Source organism: Homo sapiens, chromosome 6 (assembly GCF_000001405.40).
Source record: "Homo sapiens chromosome 6, GRCh38.p14 Primary Assembly".
Classification (NCBI taxonomy): domain Eukaryota; kingdom Metazoa; phylum Chordata; class Mammalia; order Primates; family Hominidae; genus Homo; species Homo sapiens.
In genome coordinates this window covers 70,460,501-70,486,527 of record NC_000006.12, presented here as the reverse complement: position 1 = coordinate 70,486,527, position 26,027 = coordinate 70,460,501, and the positions used below count along the sequence as shown (strand labels likewise).

General features: G+C 35.5%; 1 protein-coding gene across 59 annotated transcripts in view; it reads right to left on the bottom strand.

Annotated features, from left to right (window-relative positions):
- FAM135A (family with sequence similarity 135 member A) overlaps positions 1 to 26,027 on the bottom strand; it is a 147,667-nt gene that overhangs the window by 74,647 nt on the left and 46,993 nt on the right. For 27 of the 59 annotated variants that reach the window (XM_047419158.1, XM_047419165.1, XM_047419169.1 and 24 more), the window contains 6 exons: positions 10,979 to 11,118; positions 10,795 to 10,865; positions 9,196 to 9,369; positions 5,501 to 5,627; positions 4,374 to 4,527; positions 284 to 361 (listed from right to left, as the gene is read on the bottom strand). In XM_047419158.1, the coding sequence (XP_047275114.1) occupies positions 284 to 361; positions 4,374 to 4,527; positions 5,501 to 5,627; positions 9,196 to 9,369; positions 10,795 to 10,865; positions 10,979 to 11,118 (744 nt within the window). Of the gene's footprint in view, positions 1 to 283; positions 362 to 1,084; positions 4,528 to 5,500; positions 5,628 to 9,195; positions 9,370 to 10,794; positions 10,866 to 10,978; positions 11,119 to 26,027 lie in introns of those variants that run through there. The other 32 variants (XM_047419175.1, NM_001351607.2, NM_001162529.3 and 29 more) reach the window with 4 other exon arrangements.

Below are 26,027 nucleotides of genomic sequence, written 5' to 3'. Positions count from 1 at the left end.
AAAGTGCTCTTCATAGAAACTTTAAAAAACATATGAAAAAAGCCAGTGAGTTTTGCATTTACCATTTCCAGATTTAAGTAAAAACTTCAATATTACAAATTAATTAGGAAATTAACCAAAATTTATCTACAAACCAAATTGATTTTAAAGGTAAGTTCTTCAGAATGGTGGAAACATACCACATTATTAAATATACATTTATGAAATCTGATGCTAATTTAAAGCAAAATTTCATACTTTTTAATTAAAAGGGATCATTTACTTAAGCTATTTGTAAACGTACCTAGATGGTTGTCTTTCTGTGTTCGTAGCTGTTTTCTTCTGAGAAGACGCTCATATAGGAGCTGCATGTTGGCCTTGGCTAGTCATAAGGATTGCACACAGCACTAGTTACTATACTCCTTTCACAACAAAACTTACTAGAATTTTCCAACTTGTTAATAATAGACTTAGTGTTGATCTGATAGTGCAGTTAGTTAATTAGCTTATCAAAATTACAAATGATGTACATTCAAGTATATATTTCTTTGGTTTTTTAATTTAAATGTATGTGCCACTCAACATTTCATAATCCAATATGTCTTAATTAATTAGACTCAGAATTTTAGGTTGGCAGGGATCTCAGAGTTAACTCCCTGCTGTTACAAGTGTAGATATTGGGGTTCATATAGGCTATGTGACTTGCCCAAACCTAATTCCAGAACTCCTGACTCTCATGTTCAGTAAGAGCTCCCTGCACCAAACCAATATTTAATTATATGTCATCAGAAAATGTACATCATTCATCTGGGAGAAAAGAGAAAGGCAAAAAAGCCGAAAGGAACTCAAGGCGTTATTTTAAAAGAGGGAACATATTTTAGAAAAGTTTTCAAAGCATAGTCAAGTTTAAGAAGTTTAAATATATGCTTATTTGAAAACTCAATGAAAGTGGTAAGTAATAGAAGGAAATATTCTTTAATCAAGAACTACTCTGTATCCACTTATTAAAACTGGTGAATATAGTGGTGTTTGGTCAATAGTACATTATAGAAATATATTAGTGTTCACAATTTTATTTTGCTAGAATAAAAATAAAAGACATTGATAGTTTAGAATATGTAACAAATACTTTTATTTTTAAGTTAATAGTATTTTTAGATGTTTTCTTACAGGATGCATTCAAGAATAAACTAAAATTCACAATAAAGAGAAAGGAAAATAAAAACCGTAAAGTTTAAGAACACCACAATATATTACCAATATTTACTGAAGATGAATCTTGATTTTAAAAATCCCTAGGAAACTGTTAAGCTTTATGTTGATGCCTATACTTTTTCAAGTAACAATGAAAACTGTATTGTGCTATTTCATTCATTCATTCGAGAAATATATTTTAAGTAAGTCTATGTGTAAGGTACTAGTAATTTTATTTCTATCATATACTTATTTAAAACTGAAGTCTGGGTTTGCTTTAGAATTTTATTTTCTGATAAAATATTTTAAGCAAATAATTTGGAATAAAGTTGACATTCATTCTGTAATTAACTTCTGAAATTAAATATAAGGGCACTTTTATTACGATACTTTCTATATTACATCTATAAGCCCAAAGTAATATACATGACATAAAAGCCATCCTCACCAGAGAAAAAGTTGAAAATCTTATGAATACATGATCATGCTGAAGCTAGACTAATTAATAATAATTGCTAACACTGTCTAACCCCAACACCCAGACTGTGGACTGGTACTTGTCTGTGGCCTGTTAGGAACTGGACTGCACAGCAGGAGGTGAGCAGCAGGCGAGCAAGCACTGCTTCCTGAGCTCTGCCTCCTGTGGGATCAGCAGCGGCATTAGATTCTCATAGGAGCGTGAACACTATTGCGAACTGTGCGTGTGAGGGATCTAGGTTGCATGCTCCTTATGAGAATCTAACTAATGCCTCATGATCTGAGGTGGAATAGTTTCATCCCAAAACAATCACTTCCCCCAATCCGTGGAAAAATTGTCTTCCAAGAAACTGGTCCCTGGTGCCAAAAAAGTTGGGGACTGCTGGTCTAAGCTATTTGAAATAAATATTTGCCTTTAAAAGGAGAAATGTTTTTATTTAATTACTAATTATAAATTTTACCAATAAACATACTACCTTTTAGAGAGGATTTTTTTCTAAGTTAAAATGTGGTTCATATGTTTTTCTTTGTAAATATTACATGTTAAATCTACTTTAATATTACATGCAGATGGATATCTTCCTTATACAGGTAATTTATAAGCCCATCTCATATATTGAAGCCCCATTTTGCTGGGTGAATTTCTCCTTCCCATCCCAATGCTGAGCTGATTTCTTAATACTGTTGCTGTGAGAGGAGAGGGAACAGGAGAAGTCAAAGTTCTTTAAAGGCAGGGACCTATTCTTTCCTCAGCACCTAGCACAGTAACTGACACAGGAGGTGCTCATTAAAAGCCCAAGGGAAGTACACTGTTAAGAAGTATTGTTCCTAGAGATCCTTTACACCCTTTTTCTTTTGGATAATCTCACCTTTGCTTCCTGACACATGTACCACATCTGATTCCCTTCAATCTTCTTACCATGTGAATGGAAACCACTTTGTGTTTGTAGGCTCAAAGTAAGTAAGTGACAGAAATGGTTCCAAATGTGCACTCTTGAACATAAGATAATGCCTCCTTGAAACTACTGTAGTATTCCACATCAAAGCTATTAACACATGTTTTTGGGTTTTTTTGTAGAAATGACATTACACATGGATTTTAAGCTTTACATCACTACTTTTCATCACACTGTTTTTCAGGCACATGATACTGTCCTTCATTAATATGTTAGTATAATAGTTTTGTGGTCTGGTCATTAAAACTAACTAAAATTTGTTTTTGATTTCCAAACCACCAATAAAGATATTTGAAACATAACTTTCCATTAATTGAGGATAAGTGATAGCCTAAATTAGCTCTATTCTGTAAATGATTCATTTTCAAAAGAAGATTTTTAAAAATTTACATTTGAGGTAGTGGCCTTCTATAGAATTTTCCTAAGGGAAACAGGAATTCTAAGAACATAAAGTAGCAAGGAAAATAGAGACTGTTTCAGAGAATAATGATCAGAAGATTGTCTTTTCCACACTACCATTTTTGTTTTGAGAATGAATACATGGTCAAAAAAGAATAAACACATTTTCCTATTGCTTGTGTATCTATGAAACCATTAGGATTACTGAATCAAGAATTCTAAACAGTCAATTTAGTGATATCTATGTCTAGTCAAGAAGTGTGAGTTGAACTGACTGAATAGTGGACTTAATTAATTAATTAAATGCACTTGAGTAGTTGCTGATAGTGGCACAATAGCCAGCATTTTCTCACAGCTGAATTTAAGTGGGGTAGAAATTCTTACACTTTCTTGCAATTCCTCTGTAATCCGACACAAGTTTTTAAGTAGTCTGATTAGTCTCAAACCCAAGAACTATGTTCTGGAACAGTGACTACTTTAGGGAGTGGACTAATATTGTTAAAAGACTGAAATCCTTGAGGAACAAAGGAATAAAGTAAGAATACAGATTCAATAAATTTTAAAAGGCAATTTATGATTTATTAAAAAACTTATAAAACAATATATTCTAAAGAAATTAAAATATATTTTTATAAGCTATTAGCCAATATTTGAAAATAAAAGCTAATAAAACTGACATAAAAAGTCTGAATAAGAACTTATTTTGCCAATCCCAATAATTTATCTTCTGTGAAATAATGTATGTAAAAGCATTTTGCAAGCTACAAATGGCATACAAAATCAAGGCAATATGATTTTTTATTATGCACTACAAATATATACAGGTATTACTTTTGAATGAAACCTGAAGTTTGATTTTTTAAAACAATTTCAATGATTTTTAAAATGTTAAAATACTAAGTAATGTTATTATTCCCTAAAACAATATAAAAGGAATTTGAGATCTGAGATAACTATTATAAAATCAAATGTAAACAAAAATGCCCTAAGTACCTACAATCTGATTAGACTGTAAAATATTTGGAAGTATGGCTTTAATTTACCTTCCTATGATTCTGCAGATAATTACATTTGCTTTCTAACATGTTTTTGGGTTATATTTTAAGAGGAACAGATTACTGACATGTTTTTTTTAAAAGACTCATTTCACATTTAGCACCAAGAAGTTATTTTTTAGTATTCTGAAAAACACTTTTAAATTGCAAAAAGTGATTATCAAGGTAGAAAAAGATGGAATTGATAGAGAAGTGAAGCACACAAACACTGTAGTTTTAGTATAGAAAAACTATGGCAAAGCTGATAGCTAGCAATATAAGACTGAAGAGAATGATTTGAACTGTAGAATAAGTCTCGCTACTTTTAACATACCCAGTTCTAGTTTCTGACAAGAAGGAATCTCTTCTGTTACTGTAATGAAGTAGCTGTGCAATCCCTTGAAGGCTAGCAGCAAAGTGGCACAAAGTGTATAATGAAAACGATACGCATGATGTAGGAAGGAGTCTGCAATGATGAAGCTACAACCCTAAACAAAAAACAGATGTAGGATACAGAGTGTCAGTAATACAAAATGTTACATGTGAAACTTGGAAAAATAAAGAAAAAATACTTAACCATCTGTCAACTAAATTTATTCTAATACATATAAAAAATGTGGTAATATTTGAGAGTTGTTTATACAATAAATTTAAACATGAAATGTGGCCCTAGTAATTTCTGTTACAGTGGGTTTTTATAACAAGTAGATTAAATTATTATTTTTGATAGCATGGTATTTATATAACATTTAGACTGAAGGACAGACATTCAGCTTTTATAGTATGTCCCCTTTTCTTTTATAATAATAGCTGTACTTGTACCACTCTTTTTTTTTTTTTAATTTTCTTTTTTTTAGATATAGGGTCTCAGTTTGTCACCCAGGCTGGAGTGAAGTGACATGATTGCAGCTCACTGCAGCCTCAACCTTCTGTGCTCAAGCGATTCACCTGCCTCAGGCTCCCTAGCAGTTGGGACTACAGACATGTGCCACCATTATTTTTTGTAGAGGTGGGGTCTTGCTATGTTGCTCAGGCTGGTATCAAACTCTTGGCCTCAAGCAATCCTCCAGGCTAAGCCTTCCAAAGTGTTGGGATTACAGGCGTGAGCCACAACACCTGGCCTGCGCTACTCTACGCTGGGTCTCAGCTCTGTCAATTGTTCTTTAAAGGCTCCTTTGGAATGATTCTACCAGTTGTTGGACCAAGGGGTGACAGTAACAAGTTAAAGGGCACAGGCTGTCACAGATGTCTATCCACTAAATCTGGTAACATTTTGAAGTATCATGTTAGTTTTCATAATAGACAATTAGAACCAAACAATTTTTAAGATCATATTTAATTAGATCTATAAGTTGCTGAGCTGAAATAATTTAAAAAAGAAATATAACATTCACAGATAAAATTGTTAAAAACACTTCTTTTAAAATAAGGAGAAGATTTATAAACATATTCAGTTCTTACATCTGGTGATAACTGTTTTGTGTAGTTAATACCAAAGACCACACTTTCAAGAGTAGGAATCACGGAATCTTTGTTTTGTGCTGGTGCATTTCTATTTAACCAAGTTGTCTTCACAGGGCGAGGAAAGCTGGAGGAAGAAGTATTACATTATTATTGTCATACGAGTCTATTTGAATGTAAGTTAAATATTTACAAAGGAAAATCTTACAGGAATAGAACAGCAAGGGTTTTGCAAGTTTATAAGTTCAAAAGTACTCCTAAAGTAATTTTAAAAAATAATTTGAATAATCATGAAAAAATAAAATGAATGTTAAAAAATTAGGGCTAGATGTTTGACATTGCTTGCTATAATTAGACTTCTGGAAGTCTCAAAGAACATCAAAGATAAAACATGGTGGGATTTAGAGTAGCTAAACAACAAATGAAAGCCAAGCTTGAATTTGGAAATCCTGATGTCAGAACTGGTTACCAAATTTACAGTGTTAACACTTAATGAAATATGAATGCTATTCCCAGAAATAAAGAGCTCCCATGTAAATGTAGAAAAAGAAAAATTACTAAATCTACCTGATGCCTCTATTTCTCAAAAATAAATTTATTTCCCTTAATTCTCTTTACTAAAAGGCTATAAGCTCTATTAAAATAATTTTTATTATTCAAGTCCCTAGCAGCTAGAACTACAGTCATGTGCCACCATGCTTGGCTAATTTTTATTTTTTGTAGAGGTGAGGTCTTGCTATGTTGCTTAGGCTAGTCTCAAACTCCTGGCCTCAAGCAATCCTCCAGCCTCCAGCTTCAAGGCACCATCAATTACATACTATATGAATTACTTCTGTTAGTATTAACATTTATATTCCATAGAGGAAGAAGCATATTTCTGTTAAACTGTTGAAAAATCATACACAATTATATTTGAGATAAAGTAGGCCAAAGCATTTGAACTGTTCGATAGTTTGGCAAAAGGGAAAAGACAGAAAAGAAAAATAATGTTGCCATAAGCAGAGTGCAGGTTTTGCTTGCAAAATCCATTTGCTTTGCAAAAGTAAAATGTCTATATCCCAGCAAAGAAGGGAGTCTCAAATAAGTGGTAAATTCCACTTCATACAATGTGTTTTTCAGAGTTGTCATAAAAGTTGTACTTAAAAAATTCAAATATAAGAAACAGTTCAAATAAAAAGCAAGCAAAGAAAGAAATCCTAAGCCACTTACTTTAAGTAACTGATATAACGTCTATAGATTGCATTGACCATAAAAATTGTTTTAAATAAAAATGAAAATTTAAAAGATAATGTTATAAATTAAAAATTTTTCAATGATTGGAGGATAAAAAAACCCACCAATAATAAAACTTCAGGAAAAACCTGTTGAAGAATATAGAGTAGGAAATGTTACCCTTAGACATGACCCCTTTATCAACACACCACCAGCAAAAAGCTTCCCCTTCCCCTTTCCTTGCTTTCCTTTTCCAACCTTTCATTTATAGGTAGAGAAAGGCTGGTAAAGATGCTGCTGCTTTTACAGCGAAGTTCTAGCAGCAACAGTGTTAGATATAAGGGCCCATGGCAGCTAGATAAAGAACAGCAACCTCAGCTGTTACAGGCATATTGTTTTCTTTTCTAGTCACTAACCAGAGCCAACAGTTAATCCTCCTGGCTTCTGATTCTGAGCCAAAAATTTCTTCTTCCAGTAAATGGTCTCTAGGAGATGAGCTGCCCCTTTCTCCTATTAGTCTGTGGCAAAAATTGCTGCGTTGCAAGAGGAAGCACGTATTTAACTCACTACGATGGTGATGTGAATATCTACTCTGTTTAATTAGGGCCTTAAAAACTAACATTAATAACCTGAGCTAACCTCCTATGAATTGTTTGTGCATTTTGCAGGAAAGAAACACAGCTAGTTTTATGAAGATAATCTTGGTAAATCTTAAAAAGAAATAGTTAAAACAATTTAATTAGGGGTTCTTCTTAAAACTACAAAAAGAAGAGATTTAGAAAACTAGAGTAATACATTTTATAAACAGATAAACATTTAGCATTAAAACCAAACACAAAATCATATAAAAGCAATACTGTATATTATTTAAAAGTTATATTTCAAAAAACACACTTTGTTAGAAAAGTTTCATTCACACATTCTATTTCAGAAAATCTTCCAAAAAAATTTTAAGTTTATAATAAAATTATGTATGTAATAAAAAAACACCTTCCTGCTTATAAAAGCTATAATAACTTAGCACGACCTCTCAAAGGCCTAGGAGGTAAGAAAAAGACAGCAAAACTACCAGTTACAGATCTTTCTATAGAATAAAGAAGGCAAAACAAGTCATCAGGAGAAATATATGTCTTCCTGGCCTGGTGCTCTAAAAGGAACTAGGTCAAGGTGATCTACATGTAAGAGATGAGAGAGCAACAGAATGAAAGATGTTTTCAATTAGTTTTTAAAACAATGTAAAGATATGCCATAGGAGGTTATTACCTGTGGTCAATATGTTAAATTGTGTTGGGCTTCCATAAATTCTGAGGGTAATTTTGCAAAATGATTTACTTAGTTTTCTGATAAATCAGTTTACCATCATATCCCTTAAGCATCATCCCAATATCATTTGTCAGAATCAGATGTACATCAGAAATTGTAGATAGTTTAGAAATCAAATAAAATTGGAGACTTTCATATAATTTACTGATTTGAAGCATCCATCTGCTGCCCATACTACAAGGATGATGTTGTAAAAACTGAAGACCTTGCATTGTATTTTTACTTTAATGAAAGAAATCTGTCTACCCATGGAAGTGAACAGAAAAAAATAATTATCTCAATGCATTTATTATGATCCAGAATATTATATACCTTTGAACTAATGGTACATGATATAGTTTTAAAAGGTTGAGTAAAAATTCATAAAATTGGTTAATGACTTGGAAAGCAAGTATCACTGTATGATGTACAGTTAAGAAGATAAAATTAGCCTATCTGGATAAGAGGCAAAGAAAAAATAAGAAAAAATTCACATACTTTTCCAGAGTAATTATAGTTTAACATTGCACAAAACATAGGTACAGAATAAACAATGTTGTGTGGTTATTTCCAGATGGTATTTTTTCTTTGTTAACTTATTTGGGATTGACAAAGATGGCTTCATATTTCTGTAATAAAAAAGTTATCAAGCCAATGTTTCCCATACTCTTGAATTTTATTATAAATTTTAAAAGTCATTATTTCAGTTATCTTTAGCAAAGTACACGTTTTCACTATAAAAATAAAAAAATGCTACATTAATAAGGCTCTCATGTTGAATTGTAATCCTCAATGTTGGAATGGGGCCTGGTGGGAGGTGATTAGATCAGGGGGACAGATTTCTCACGAATGGTTTAGTACCATTCCTCTTGATACTGTCCTCATGATAGTGAGTGAGTTCTCATGAGATCTAGTTATTTAAAAGTGTGTAGCAACTCCTCCTGACTCTTTTGCTCCTGCTCTGGCCATGTGAGATGCCTGCTCCCCCTTTGATTTCTGCCATGATTATAAGTTTCCTGAGGCCTCCCCAGAAGTTAAGCAGATGCCAGCATCATGCTTCCTGTACAGCCTGAAGAACCATGACCCAATTAAACCTCTTTTATTTATAAATTGACCAGTCTCAGGTATTTCTTTATTGCAGTGTAAGAATGGCTTAATACAAAAATATTAGTCAAATTTACCTTATTAGTGGCTGGTGTAGTGCAACCAATGATGCATGAACTGTAACAGACACAACAGAAAGGTGGAAGTAATCAAACATAACATTAACATGATGATGAAGGCCTCTATGGGGGCTAAAGTGCAGCTTCAATGTTCGGCTACTTATTAGTTGCAAGGCATTCAGATCATCTGCCCTGTAAAAAGGAACACTTAGCATGTAAGTATGAAACATTTAGTAAACGCCAATATATTATAAAGTAGTTGAAACTATAAAAACTATTTACTTAATTACTTTTTAAAAATTTCGAATAAGAGTAATTTTTAAAGCATCAAAGTTGCATTAGAAGCAATATGAAACATACCAATTGAGAAAATAATCAGATCCCACCTATTATTGTTTTCTATCAGTCCATGATATGAACTATTTTTTCACTAATATCCCTATAAAATGAATCCTTTTTGATACTTCAGGAATTAATCTCATCTTAAAATTTTACCCCATAGAGAATACTGTTTATTACAAGGCTGCAGTACAACATAGGTCAAATACTATTATAATAAATCCCAAAGGATATTTCAAATTACTTTTACTCTACAAAATTTTATTAAGTGCTACTCAAAAATAAGCAGGCCATTGCTTATTTTAAAAAGTAAAACATATCTTATTGTAGATATTTAGTATATCATTAGATTTATACACACTAAAAATGTGAAACAATGCCATGAAAATTATATCCAATTATACTTAAAAAAATTCCATCCATCCATTTTAACAATCTACAGGTAATGAACTACCTACTCATTTCAGCTTATTCCACTTAAATAATTCTGACTTGGTGAAAAAAAAAAGACTTTACAAAATTCTTTGTAATGAACAAGTATTACAGAGGAACAGTAGCTACCATATAGTGAAGAGGACATCTAAAGTAGGCCTTTCAGTAATGTGACTTTTTAGTTACTTATCCCACATGCAGTCTGAATTTATATATCATTTTTGAGAATTATTGCTAAAACTACATTTGAGATGGGGGAAAAAACCCTGCATAAATACAATTGTTAAGTGAATCTCTGATTCTTGTTTTAAATGAACACAAGCAAAATTTGTTCCTAAAACATATGACTGCATGTCCAGGTATGTGGGTAAGTTGGAGGTAGCCAATCCTAAAACTTCCTCAAGGGCTCTGGAAATTAATGAACTAGAACAACTGTCAAGTGCACATCGTCAGTCTTGATAACTCTCAGAATATCAACAAAGTCCTACCTAAAGAAAGCATAACTGATGCCATCAAGAAAGATTAGCCAGTGATACAGTGGAAAAGAGCTCATTTACATTTAAATGCCTCACGGTAGTGGTATTACATTAACAGTGCAATTTCTAGGAGCTAGGAAAAATTGTTCCATATTTCTTTAACTTGTCTGGTTTTGTTATCTGGAGCTCATGGATTCGGCATGGGCACAATAGAGCTGGCCTAATCATTCTCATGAAGTTTCCCCAGAAAACACAAGTAGTTCAAGACAAGATAGGGATAGGATGAATTTTAAGAGGAAAATGGGCAATCTAATAATAACAAATAACAGTCATAAGTGCCTAAAGGTTTTTTAATTGATTAGCTACTTACGAATAATCTCCATCTGTGAAGTGTAGATCCAAGGATAATAGAAAATTCATTTCCTCAAGGGTTTCTTCAATCTGAAAAGAAATTACACTATGAGATACTTTTTGAAATTTTATAGAAAGTTAGAAATAACATCTTGAGGCATTACAAAAAATATTTACATAAATAAATATGAAGAGATGTTTACCTTTCTTTCATCCAATAGCATTTTTACTTTGAAGATCATAACATCATTTAAAACAACCTCTTCATTTTTGTACAAAATTTGAAATGTTTTACTGCAAATTAGAGAATCATGAACTGAGGCTGGAAAGGCTAAAGTCATACCTAAAACAGATAAGATATGTAATTGACAGATAAAAGTAAAATATAACACAAGCAAATTAACACTTGTACTTTAAAATACTGTATGTTTGATTATATTACTATAGTGTCATTATCAATTTATACTGCAGTATTGGAACATTTCTGAAAGTTTACTTATTTCTATGATTAGAAAATAAATAAGTACATTATGAGCATTGTAAAATTACTGCATGACATCTTAATCTGAAAGGTAAATGAGGAAATATCGAAGCAGAAATTTTAGAGTGAACAACTGATCTGTATACCACATTTAGGAAAGCAATTTAGTTTTCCATAGCTGAATAGTAAAGAATTTGGTTGGCCTTTGTACTGGTTGCTAGGAGTTCAGCTCTAAACACTTGGAATAAAGAATTTGGCTGGCCTTTGTCTCCAGTTTCTGAGAAGTAGCCTCTAAATCCTTGGTGGCCCCTAGTTTATGCTAAAGAGATGACTCAGGATGGGGGCTGGCCACATCACTAAGACCAGCCATGTGATTAGAGAGTTGCGCTTTGAGCCTAGTGATATAACCTCAATATCCAGAGAGGGGAGAATAGCTAAAGACTGAGCGACATGGGCGATGATTCAGTCAGTCATGCTTACATAAGGAAACATCAATAAAAATTCTGAACATTGAAGTTTGAGTGAGCTTCCCTGGTTGGTAATACTCCGCATATCATCACATACTGGATGTTCGAGAGGAGGAAAGTTAATGCGTCCTTACTTAATGGGGAGAAAACAACGGAAGCTTCACATCTGGGACCCTCTCAGATCATCCCTATACAGATTCTGATTTGAATCCTTTTGCTGTAATAAAGCTGTAATAATAAGTACAGCACTATGCTGAGTTTGGTGAGTTGTTCTACTGAATTATCAAACATGAGGGAATAATGGGAACCCCCAGATTTGTAGCCAGCTCTTCACAGCTGTGGGTAGCTTGCAGACCACTAAACTCATGGCTGACGTGAGGGGAGTCTTGTGGAGGACTATGTCCTTACCATTTGAAGTTTGGTTTTTATCTCTGGGTCATTGATGTCACTCCAACAGCCTACCTGCTGTTATGATCTTATTACCCTGTGCTCCAGAAATAACAATTGAAACTAGAGAAAAAAAAGAAAAAGAAAAAGAAAAAGAAACTAGAGATCAAGGTGGGTTTGGAGCTCAAAATGGGATATAAGACTCCAACTGGAGTCATGAGGATGTCAACATAAGCTGGTGGATGTCAGTCAAAGGCAGGGAGCCTCTGCAGGCCAGGGAGCACAGGGTCCAAACGCCCATATGAAATCCACATGGGGTGGTGGCCTGATGTCAAAGCCTGTGTGGAGTGAGGAGGGCAGCCAAGAGTAAAGTGTCAGAACCTGAGCAGGATGAGGAGGCAATCTAAGTGCAGCGGTGACTTTGAGTAAGGTATTGGGAGCCCAAGCAGGATGAACAGGGCAACCACAAGGGAAGGCACCTCAGGCTGGGGGGTTGGAACACAAGTTAGATGGAGAGAGCGTCTTTACAGAGGAGCAGCCTGGTACAGGGTGTGTAGGAATCTGAAAGGGATAAAAAGACTTCATATGGGGGTGGGAGTCAAGAAGGCGGTGGGCAGCAGCAGCAGCTTGACACACTACTGGAATCCAAGTGAAGTGAGGAAAAGGAACTCCTGGCACAAGGCCTTACTGAGGTCAAGTGGGGTAAGGAGGAGGTCCACATAAGGGAGTGACCTTGCATAAGGTGAAGCCCAACTAGTTCAAGGAGACCATCTGTGTGGGAGAAGAAGCAGTGACAGGAGATTGGCACATATAAGGGACTGATCAAATAAGGAAATATATTAAAGGATAAGGGGAGCCAGTTTCCTTACCTATCAGGGAAAGGATGTACACATATGGAAAGGAGACACAAATACAGAATGAATCCCATGGTACTGGATTGAAACTGAGAGTACTGATATGAACTTATGGTTTTCATCAGATATTTAGATAAAGACATGTAAATTTGCATATGTATGTGTAAGTGTATGGTGTATATAATGTACTTACTATCTTTGTCCACTCAAATGGCCTGGGAGTAGCACAACCACAAATGTTAGTCTTTAGTACTATCCTCCACTAAAAGGATCCACAGCTTTGTAGAAATGGTTGGTTCCAAAGCTGGCGCACAGACAAATCTGGACCATCTTTTTTATACCAGAAAGTAAGGAAGTGATTAGAGAATGTGGGGACACAACAAAAGGGCATAGAAGCTAGCTGGAAGAGAATGCCCCGGCCATATCTGGGACAAAGTGAACATCAAAATAAATTATGACAGTAATAGATTAACATCCATTGAGTAAACAGAAATCTGTAAGTCCATACTGATATAAATAAATAAGTGAATGAAAAAATCTGAAGTTTAAGAAACAAGAGACATTAATTGCAAAGTGAAAAAGAGTAATGTTACAGCGGAGAAGCTGGGAAGAGAGCACCTTAATTAAGAGATCCAAGTTAACATTATTAGGAATTGGACAAATAGAAACCACGTATCACCTAATAGGATGTAACAAGAAGAACAAGCATCACTTCTGAGATATTCCTGTCAAAAACACATAAAATGAATCTAATCATGACGAAATTGTAAACCCATGCAAACTGAAGAACACTCTAAAAAATAACAGGTTTGTAGTCTCCACAAAAGTGTCAGGGTGATCAAAGTCAAGAAGAGACTGAGGAACTGTTCTAGGATGAAGGAGACTAAAGAGACATAACAATTAATTACAATATATGATTTGGAACTGGATCATTTTGCTATAAAGGACTTTACTGGAACAACCAGCAAAACCTGAATGGGGCTATGGATAAGACGACAGTAACGTGTCAGTGTTAGCTTCTTGATTTTGATGGATGTATTGGGGTTATGCAGGAGAATATTCTTTAGAAAAAAATAATGCACTAAAATATTTGGGATGATGGAGCAATCATATTGGCAAATTACTCTTACATGGTTCAGGAAAAAAAGTTCTTTATAATGTACTTGCAACTTTTCTTTAAGTTTGAGATGCTTCGGGAAACATATACTTAAAGGGAAACCAAGCAGACCAGAAACTCAACTTCTGAGTATGTTGAAGAGCTGAGAAGGGAAAGAAATTCTCCTCAATGAAAGTAAATTTTGTTGAGAGCACCCAGGTAACGTGAGGTGAGAATCCACTGCCTGAAGAAACAAAGGTTTCTCTATTGCTCTTCCCTGAAGATGCTGCATCTCTCTCAATACTTCCATATAACTTCTACCACTGGGTCTGGAGCTTCTTTGTTGCTTACTGATGCTTTGAGACACTCTTTGTCTCTCCTCCCTAAAACCACTTATACCACTGGCTTTGAATCTCCTGTGATCAGACAGCACAGTACCACTCACTATCCTGCTCATTTTTGTACTCTATAAACCCTGGGAAGCCTTCATTTCTTGAAGGCTTTATTTCCTAATTTAAGATCACTTTTTCAAAAACTAGTCTAGCCATAACTGTTGGTGAACTCAATAGCTATGTAGGTAAACCTAATCTTTGATCTCCTGGGTTCCTTTTCTCCTCTTTTTAAGCGTTCTTGCTCTCTAACCCTCCTCAGCTCCTCACTCCTGTGATCATTCTCCAGACTTTTATATTACCAATGACTGCAATCCATCTGTAATTTGAATTTCTTTTTTTAAATTTGCAACTTTTAAGTTCAAGGGTACATGTGCAGGATGTGCAGGTTTGTTACACTGGCAAATGTGTGCATGGTGGTTTGCTGCACAGATCATCCCATCCCACAGTTATCAGGCCCAGCATCCACTAGGTATTCTTCCTGATTGATCCTCTCCCTCCTCCCACCCCCTATCCTCCAACAGGCCCCAGGGTGTGTCATTCCCCCGGATGTATTCATGTGTTCTCATTATTTAGCTCCCACTCATAAGTGAGAACATGTGTAATGTTTGTTGTAATGTGAATTTCAATCAACCTCTCCTCCCATACTTCCACCTGTCTTTCTGGTTCATACCCTCTAAGACCACAAATTCAATAATCCTTTGACCACATTTAGGAGTAGATTCCATGAACCCTACTCCTTTTCATTATCCCCTTACTTTCTCTTAATTCCTTTTTTCCTTACCCATCTTAAATCCTATGATCCATCATTATAATACACTCTTGCATATAATCTATTAAGGATATATGTTACCCTTGCTTTGTCATATTGACCTGGATAAATCCCAACTCCAGCTCTCTGCCCAATCCACACTTGTACCCACAAACTGAATGTGCCTGGAGAAAAACAAACAGCTATCTTGACTGGCTATACTTTAAATTCATGACCGTTAATTTCAAGTGGGTCTTTAGTGCTGCCTAGCAATCATACCGTATTTTCCAAATCCATTTTATCCCCATATTCTTAGATGACTATTTCATAAATTATTTTCTCTCCTCAAACCTAGCCTTCAGTCTCACTGATAAATTTGTTTCTTATTTCATGAGAAAATAAAAATAATCAGAAGTTCTATAAGCTCTACTATAGGATCTACCTGCAGATGCACCTAGACAAACTCCCTATTTCTCTGCTCCCTTTTCAGGCAAAACTCAAAAGTCTTTGCTATTTAGTGTGTTTGATTCATCTCCCATTCTCTCTTCAGCTCACTGTGTGATAGCCAGCCTCTAAAATGGCCTCCAATGATTCTCTTCCTGGTATTCACACTATTGCACAATCTCCTAGAAAGGACCAGGGTTGATCTATGTGATAGAAGTGATAGTAGGGACTGGGTGCAGTGGCTCACGCCTGTAATTCCAACACTTTGGGAGGCTGAGGCGGGCAGATCACTTGAGGTCAGGAGTTTGAAACCAGCCTGGCCAACATGGCGAAATCCTGTCTCTAGTAAAAATACAAAAATTAGGTGGGTGTGGTGGCGGCCACCTGTAATCCCAGCTACTTAGGAGGCTGAGGCAGGAGAACTGCTTGAACCTGGGAGGCGGAGGTTGCAGAGTGAGCCGAGATTGTGCCACTGCACTCCAGCTTGGGCAACAGGGTGAAACTCCATCTCCAAAAAAAAAGAAGTAATAGTAGGATTTGTGTGAATACAGCAGAAGTAAATGACTATAACCTAATGAGAGATCCTGAGTCAGAGGCATGCAGCTAAATTTCTGACACACAGAAACTGTGAGATAATGTTTGCTGTTTTAAACTAAGTTGTGGGATAAATTTTTACACAGCAATAATTCATACTCCAATCAGACTTTAGCCCATATAACTGTTCTTATCAAAACCACTAATGATTTCTCCTTTGCCAAATCCAAAGGTCAACTCTCAAACCTCATCTTACTTGACTTATAATCAGTATCTAACATAGATACTATGATCCATCATATAATATGCATTCTCTCATTCTTGTTCTTTTGTTGTTGTTTTTTTTTCTACTTTTTTTTGAGACAGAGTCTTACTCTGTGCCCAGGCTATAGTGCAGTGGCACTTATCTTGGCTCAGTGCAGTCTTGACCTCCAGGGCTCAAGCGATCCTCTCACCTCAGCCAAGCTAATTTATTTTTTATTTTTTGTAGAGATGAGGTCTCATTATGTTGCCCATCCTCTCATTCTTGATACACTTCTTAAATGTAGCTTTCTGGACATCACACTCTCCTAGTTCTACTCCTACCTCATGGGCCACCCCTTTTTCGTCTCTTTTTTTTGCAGGGGGTGGGGGTGCTGTTCTTTTCTCATCAAGAAGCAGCATAGTGCAGTGGTTAGGAACATAGATTGTGAAGCCAGACTGGCTAGGTTTTAGTCCTGGTTCTGCCACTTACTAGATCTGTGAACTTTATTCTTTCTTCTTTTCTATGCCTCACAACCAATTCTTCAGTAAACCCACTGGTTCTACCAACAATACTAAAAATGATCTGACAGAAAAAAGAAGGCTGCCTTTAGGAATGCTCTAAAGGAATTCTCATGCCAGATAAGAAGTTGTATACAAAATCAGTAATTCTAAATTGCTGTGAATGATTTCAGTGAAAGTTGCCTATATCCTCAACTGACATCAATATTTTAAGCTTTAAAAAAGAAATACCAGTGACTTACATATAATAAACTTCATCTTAATTTTATTCTCAAACCAGAAGCAACAGGCAACAGATGTGCAACTTCCTAGTCATTCATTCACTCATCCGATCAACAAATATTTACTGAATACTTATTATGTATCAGGTATTCTCTAGGTGTTTGGGATACACAGTTAAATGAAAGAGATAAAAATCTCCGACCTCATAGAGCTTACATCCTAACGGAGTGGTGTGATAGAGAATAAATATAGTAAGTAAATGATAGAATACATTTGAAAGTTACAAGCATTAAGTGCTATGGAGAAAAATAAAGAAAGGAAAAGAGGGATAAGAAAGATAGTAATTTTAAACAGAAAAGCCAGGCAATGCTTTCTTGAGAAGGGAACCTATCAGCAAAGAAGAAAACTGATTCCTGTGTTCTTTCCCCTACTACAGGCCACTAGGTCGCTGTCCCCTCCTTCACCCTAGCAGAAGTCTGGAAGTTTATTCTCTGAAGAGAATAGAAGTCCTCTGAACTAAAAATCACCTGGCAAAACTGAGAGAGCATGAATATACGAGCATAGGCATATTGAATACTAAGTGCAGAGATCAGAATTGTTCTCTACTGGGCTCCTAGAAGGCTGTCAGCTAGATTCTTACTCTCTAGGAAGGAGACAGACAAGAGTCTTCTATGTCATTTCAAGAACTGTAAAATCTTAGATTTTACCAAACTTGCAACCTAACAAGCTAGTCTGCCACAGTTTCATATATGTTGGCAGAAGACACAAGACTCTTGGGTCAAAGACAAAAGGTTTGATTATGCACAGCATAGCAAGCAGCATGAGCTTCCTGTTCATGTTAGTTTCCCTTGTATTCACTCTTCCAAGTCCCATGGGAGTGACATGGAGGCAGGCCAGGTGGATACCATGTATGTGGTGGGTTTTTGGTCACAATTGAGGAACCCTAAGCTTAGGAAACCTCTATCTTTTATAAGGGTAGCTATAAGAAAACCTATGTAACTTTTGCACTGTCCATTATATTGGAAAGTAGATAAATGTACTGTATGTTCTAGACAGAGACACTGTCTATAACTTCCAAAGCTGTTCATTGCACACATATCCTTAAAAAGATGGTCTTTTTAAACAGAAGGCTTTCAGTGTCTCTGCTCATAAAATGTTTCTCTCTTCTCAGAAACATGAGAAACCATAGAGAAGAATTCTCAGTGATATATACAGTATAATCTCAGATTCTTCACAGTTCTTGACATGGGGAATCTAATGAATTCAATGAAAAATAACTATCAATACTGACTTCAAAGATTCCTTAGACAAATGGCTCACCATCGCCCTAAAATGAGGCTCAGACAAGTCCCCTGCAGGCTCTCAGAATTTCCCATCAGCCTTCCTTTCACTCATGTTTAGACAACTGAGGCCTATCAAATATCAGAAGGACACTTTTAACATGTTTAAGTTAGAGACTAAAACAAAGAGAAAAAAAGTAACATACGAAAAATTTTTTTAAAAAAGAAGAATATTGTTCTTAGAGAAGATATTACATTCATGAAACAGGAAAACATTGTTATAGCAAAGGAACACTCAGACAAAAGAGCACTTGGATTTTAAAATGAAGAGAGAAGCGATGAGAGAGAGGGAAGGAGAGAAGAAAAGGAGAAAAGAAGGAGAAAGGGAGTGGGAGAGAGAATAAGAGAGTAAAAGATAGAAAGCACAAAAGCAAATAGCTCAAAAAAGGGTTAAAAATAAAGGTGAAGAAATATCATAGTAGAGCCAAGAAGAGAACGGGAAAAAGGAGAAGAAAAAACTAAAACTTAAGAAAGCCAGTAAAGATGATCCACCTTATAAACAAAAGAAGTTCCAAAAAGAAAGAACAAAGAAAACAGATGGGAGATAATTGTTAACAAATTAAGAAATTTCTCAGAACTGAAGTACTCAAAGACCCAAGGTACAGCATTATGTGCCATCAGAACCCCAGTTACCAAGAGGATATTCTACCAGATTTTTGAAAGGGGAAAAAGGTCACATAGAAGATTAAAAATCAGTCATTTTTTTTTTTGGAGAAAAAAATAAGATTAGTAATCAGAATGGCTTTGGAACTCTTAACAGCAATGCTGCAAACCAAAAGATAATGGAGTAATATTTTCAAGATTCCAAAGAAAAAAGGTTTCCAACCTAGAATTCTATACTTAGCTGAACTTCCAAATAACTGTTAAGGGTAGAATGAAAAGACTTTTAGATGCTGAAGGCTTCAAAATATTTATTTCCCATGCCACTTTTCTCAACAAGTTAACTATTTATAGGCTCTACGAAACTGAGAGAATAAACCAAGAAAGAGAAAAAACAGATGTTAGGAAATAAGAGATTCAACATAGAAGAGATGCAAAGGGAATGCCTAGGAAGATGGTGAAGGAAGATCCCAAACAGATCCTCTTCCTTAGCTAATCTACAGTGACCAATGTAGTTCGGATTTGTGTGCCATAAAAGATATGTTAACATCCCTGCTGCTAGGGTACCAACTTTAACCTGAGGACAGATTAAAAGCTTGGCTAAATTTCTTTTCAGTGCTTGGCTTATTTGAAGGTGTACTAATGAAGTTTCTAGCCTAGATCATCTGATGATACTATTTTCACTTCACTGAAGTTTTCTGCTTTGGCCTGCTCCTGAGAGTTGGAGGAGGGCAATGTTAAGTTCAGATGCAAATCAGTCTGTTCCATATGTTAGATATCCAATATTTTATCACATTACAATCTTGCCAGAAGCCCTGAAAGTGGTAAACTCTGTTTTACACAATTCACTCTTGACCTTGCCCACGAACATCTCCAAAGGGAGTCTTAAAACCTTTCAGGTATAAAGAAGCATACCATAACCCAGAGACTCTGTTCAACTTTTCTTCTGGGAGACTTCTTTTAATAATAGCGATATTTATGCTATCTTACACAGCTGGGTTTGTGCTTGCCACTCAATTTTTTTCAAACTCAACCAGATATTTCCTTGGAATATAGTTATACTGACAAAATGCACTCATAATGATAAAACTATAAAGAAAGCAAAAGAATAACACAAACGTCAAGAGGGGTATACAGGAGGATTTTACAGTACTAGTAATGTTCTATTTCTTAAATGAAAGGTTGGGTACCTGGGTGTTCATTTTATTATTTAATAAAATACTGTGTTATGTAATCGTCAAAAAATGTGCAATATATTTCATAATGCAAAGTTACACATTCACTATATAGCTGCTTTGTGCCATGGATTTTCTCAGCTAAGTGGACTGAACAAAAAAACCAACCATTTTCCCTGACCTCACCTAATTCTGTAAATTACATCTACACTAAGTGTACAGAAGACAGAGTGCTATGACATCTTACAATATGGGGGTGAACTTAGGCTGTGAAACCAGGAGAGGCTTTGTTGACAACATAGCATTTGAGTTGAAACACCATGAAAAAGAGTTAGTCAAATGAAGATAAAAGGGAAGAGCCTTTCAGGAGGAAGAAATGGAGATTTCTCGAAGGCAAGGACCTTGTCTCATTTATTTCTTACTTCATGTTAGTATTATGAACATGATCAGCACTTATGGATGTGGAGAAACTGAAACTCTTGTGTACTGTTGGTGAAAACGTGAAACAGTATAGCTGCTGTGCAAAATACTATGGGGGTTCCTCAAAAAATTAAAAATAGAACGACTGGCCACACACAGTGTGTGGCTCACGCCTGTTATCTTAGCACTTTAGGAGGCCGAGGCAGGAGGAACAGTTGAGTCCAGGAGTTCAAGATTAGCCTGGGCAACAAAGTTAGGCTCCATATGTACAAAACATATGTGACTCATGGGGCTGAGGTAGGAGGACTACTTAAGCTCAAGAGGTCGAGGGCAGTGAGCCTTGATTGCACCCCTGCACTCCAGCCTGGATGACAGAACGAGACCCTGTCTCAAAAAATAAAAATAATAAAAATAGAACTACTATATAATCCAGCATCTCACTTCTAGGTATTTATCCAGAAGAACTGATAAAAGAGGGTCAAAGAGATGTTTGCACACTCACATTCATTGAAGCATTATTTATAATAGTCAAGAGGTAGAAAAAACATAAATGTCTATCTACAAATTAATGGATAGTGTGGTATGTACATATTAAAGAATATTATTCAGCCTTAGAAAAGAAAATCCTGTCATAGCTACAACATGGAAAAACCTTAAGGACATTATGCTAAGTGAAATAAGCCAGTCACAGAAAAGCAAATACTGCATGACTCCACTTATATGAGGTATATAAAGCAGTCAAACTCATAGAAACAGAAAGCAGAATGTGGGTTGACAGGGGGTAGGAAAATGGGGAGTTGCTGTTCAATGGTATAGAATTTCAGTTATTCAAGATAACAAAATTTTAGGTCAGGTGTGGTGGCTCATGCCTATAATCCCAGCACTTTGGGAGGCCAAGGCAGGTGGATCACTTGAGGTCAGGAGTTTGTGACCAGCCTGGCCAACATGGTGAAACCCCATCTCTACTGAAAAAAAAAAAAAAAAAAAAAAAAAAAAATTGGCCAGGCGTGGTGGTGCATGCCTATAATCCCAGCTACTTGGGAGTCTGAGATGGGCGAATCGCTTGAACTGGGAAGACGGAGGTTGCAGTGAGCCGAGATCACACCACTGCACCACTTCGGCCTGAGTGACAAAGTGAGACTGTCTCAAAAAAAAAAAAAAAAGAAAAAAAAGAAAGAAAGAAAGAAAGAAATTTAAAAAAATAAATAACTGAAATATTGTTCTGTTATTCCTTTTTACACTTTAATGTTATTATCAAACTGAAGGGTCTGGGAAACAAAAGACCTAAACGTGTATGCTAAGATTACTGTCTTGAATCTGAAACTTTGTTTTCTAATATTTGCTAGATGATAACAACTCCATTAAGTCAGAAACCACATTAATCTTTTTCACTGCTTTAATTTAGGACTGAGCACTTAGGTCTCACACATAGTAGGCAGTCATAAAGTATTTATTTAATAAATGAATGTTCGTCTAACTTCTTAATTTAATATCCTATTTCCTTGTTCAAATGACTTGATTTTTATTTTGCCTATCAGTTATCTGCTAACACAAACATTCAGATCTATAGTTTTAAAGACTTGAGATAATTAGAGGCTTCTAAATGCTTACATTCAATCATGATAATTTATATTTTATTTCTATCACTATCTGCATTTCCGTTTCCTTTGGTTAAAAGTTAGCACTGGTATCTTTCATTTACTTTGTGACCAAGTGACTATTCATTCAACCATAATTTATTAAGTCTCTCAACTACTGGGAAGTAAAAGACATGAACATAAGTAAGAACTCTGCCCACTTTCAGAGCTCCCAGTCTAGTTTGGATAGAAACATTCAAATAAATAATTGCAGTACAATGTGATAATCTCTTAACTGCCTATTTCAGCAGGCCAAAGCAAATAGCAATCTAACACTATCTCTTAAACCAGGTAAAAAGACAATTAAAGGGCAATGATAGAAGCTGTTGAATCTGAGGAAAGCAAAATGGAGGCTTGCCAAATGACTTCCATTTTGTAATCTATGCAGTTTAATTCAAGGACCTAACTTTATGGTGAGTTTTCCATTTATGGCTGTTGAGATTATTCAATTACTGATAACAGTAAAGGATTAGTGACATAATATGAAATGTCTCTAGCTATATGTTTAACTTTTCCTCATTTTTTTTTAAAGCACTGTTCTTTAATGGTGATTGATGTTTGTTTTAGTAGAATCCCATTTCTGAGAAAAAATTATAACAACATAAGCTAAAAGAGGTACATAGAAAATGCTATGGGCCAGGAGTGGTGGCTCATACCTGTAATCCTAGCGCTTTGGGAGGCAGAGGTGAGAAGACTGCTTGAGGCCAAGAGTTTGAGACCAGCCTGGGCAACACAGTTAAGACTCCCGTCTCTACAAATTTTTTTTTTTTTTTTAATTAGGCCAGTGTGGTGGCATGCGCCTGTAGTCCCAGCTACTTTGAGAGGCTGATGTGGGATTATCACTTGAGCCCAGGTGTTCAAGGCTATAGTGAACTATGATCACACCACTGCACTCCAGCCTAGGTGACAGAGCAAGACCCTATCTCAAAAAAAAGAAAAAGGACTATGACAGCAAGGCAAAGGAAACATCTAACTGCTTAGGGGAGTTACCTACGGTTTTAAAAAGGAGGTAATAAGGAGAAGAGAGGAGAGCATGCACAAAATATGAGCAAATAGAACCCATCAAACTTGAGAAACTGAAAGTAGTTCCATTGAATCCACAAGAATGGTGGGAAACAAAATTCGACATGTAGGATAGGATCAAATCATAAAAAATCTTAACACAGCAGAACTATCCCAACATTTCAGTGGCTCTCAAAGGAAGGCCCTGAAAAGCTGGTGGCTGAGCAAAGCTTAAGGAGACAACTAATAGAGGAGAAAGATATGGTTCTGCTAACAGCACTTCAGAATATTTGAAGCTTTATTCCAAGTAGCTAATTAACCACTGCCAAAATAAAGTAACTGGGACAATCTTTCCTTACTTTTATAACTAGCCCTTATTTCCAGCCTTCCTTTCTCCTTGATGTTAACTTTTTGAAACTGCTATCACCTACCTAAAAGCTGGGTAGTAGCATATAGGAAGAAAAATGAAATACATATATACACACACAAAAAATATTATCCAAGACAGAGAAGTGGCCTTAGAAAAAACCTGGTCAAATACCAATAGCTGCATTTTTTTTTTTTTAACCAACCTGGGCTGATTTCTTGTAAGTCTAAATGCTTATCTAGTTGTAAAGCTTCTATCAAAATGGAGAACTTTTTTTTATTAAGACCTTCCCCACACATTATCATTTGAATTTTTGTGAAATTTCCCTTTTTCCCTCCATTTCAGTCTTATTAGTACTAATACTGGCTACTAAATACTGTGTGCTGGGCACTGTGCTTTATGGAAATCATTATTAATCATTTTGGCAACCTTATATTGTAGGGATTAATATATACATTTTACAGACACCAAGGTTCTGATAATCTGCCCAGAAATCAAATGCCACAGCTGTTTGTGCCACAGCCTGTGCTTGGCCGTCAATGTCACACTGATAAACTATTTCAAACATATGTGTTCTCTCATATACACCACAGAACTCCAACACTAGTAAGGAACAGCTATCTCATTGGAGAGAAAAGATGGAAAGGAGCTATAAAAAAAGTTAAACCATATCATTCAACTAACCTGTCTACACATAGAGTGAATTCTTGAAAACTAAGGAAATTACATATAAATGGCTTTTTCTTAGACTGTTTTTCCTTATATCAAGCTGGTTCTGAGATCCTAGAGTCCACCTTATTTCAGCATTTTAACTACTGGGGCAATTTAGGACAGAAAGGGAGGGCAAGACACAGGGAAAAGACATTTACTGAGCATGGTACTAGATCTCTTTACACAATTTTCTAACTTAATTTTTACATACACACTGTGAGAAGGATTATATCTATTACACTGATAAGGAAAGAAAGACTCAAATAAATGGAATAATTTGCTTAAGACCAAATAGCTAGTGAGTGGCAGAACAAGATTTGAAACTAGTTATGCCCAAATTAAAACACATTCCACAGAGGAAGCTAGCTTTATAAGAATAGAAATGCAGTCTCAGGTACCTAGATTTCCATGAGGTATTATATAAATTTAGGGATCTTTCGGGAGTTCTCTTCTTCTCTTCAGTTCTTCCTTCTTGCTCTTGGTCATACTAGTTCATGTTTCCTATCTCATAAATAGTTTTATTGGTTTTCAGAAAAATATGAAATTTTAAAATTATACTTATTAACATGAAATGTTATCCTATGCACTTCATTACTTGCTATATAATAGAAATTATACATAACACAGAAAAATTATGTTTCAGTTCTTTACATAAAATGGTTCATAGCATAATGAGTCAAAACATGACTGTTTTCCATTATTCCTTATATCTCTAGAACTCAATATTTAACATATTGAGGTATATAACATAAAAGGTATACAGCCCTTTACAGTCTAAGTACTTTCAGTTATTTAATGCACAATAACCCTGTGTAGCAGGTAATACACTGCACAGAGGAGAAACTGAAGCTCAAGGAGGTTAAGTGAGTTTTCCCAGGTAGCACAGTAGGAAGACAGACTCCTGATTCCAAGTCACTATTTTGTTAACTACATCAGAGCAGCATCTCTGAATTAACAGTTTCTAAACTACATTAAGATTTATCTATCTATAGGCTTGGCACGGTGGCTTACACCTGTAATCCCAGCACTTTGGGAGGCTGAGGCAGCGGATCACTTGAGGTGAGGAGTTTGAGACCAGCCTGGCCAACCTGATGAAACCCCGTCTTTACTAAAAATACAAAAATCAGTCAGGCGTGGTGGTGCGTGCCTATAATCCCAGCTACTCGGGAGGCTGAGGCAGGAGAATTTCTTGAGTCCAGGAGGCGGAGGTTGCAGTGAGCCGAGATCCCACCATTGTGAGAGTCTACTTAAAAAAAAAAAAAAAAGATAGCTATCTATCTATCTAGGTAAATCTAATAGATATCTAGATAGATAGATAGATAGATCGATAGATAAATCTTCTATCTATCTCTTCTTTTCTTAAATTCTTCCTTCTTGCTCTTGGTCACACTAGTTCATGTTTCCCATCTCATAAATGGTTTTATCGGTTTTCAGAAAAATATTCTTAGCTAGCTATCTAACAGTGATCCACATCAATACCAAAGTAACTAGACCTGCCTTAATTGTCTTACTGGACGCTTATGATCTTCCTTCTTTATGTTGGATAGTCATTTCGATTCTAGAAACCCTTTCCTTCTTGTGTTACCACCAAAGTGCAAATACTTGTTTTCAAC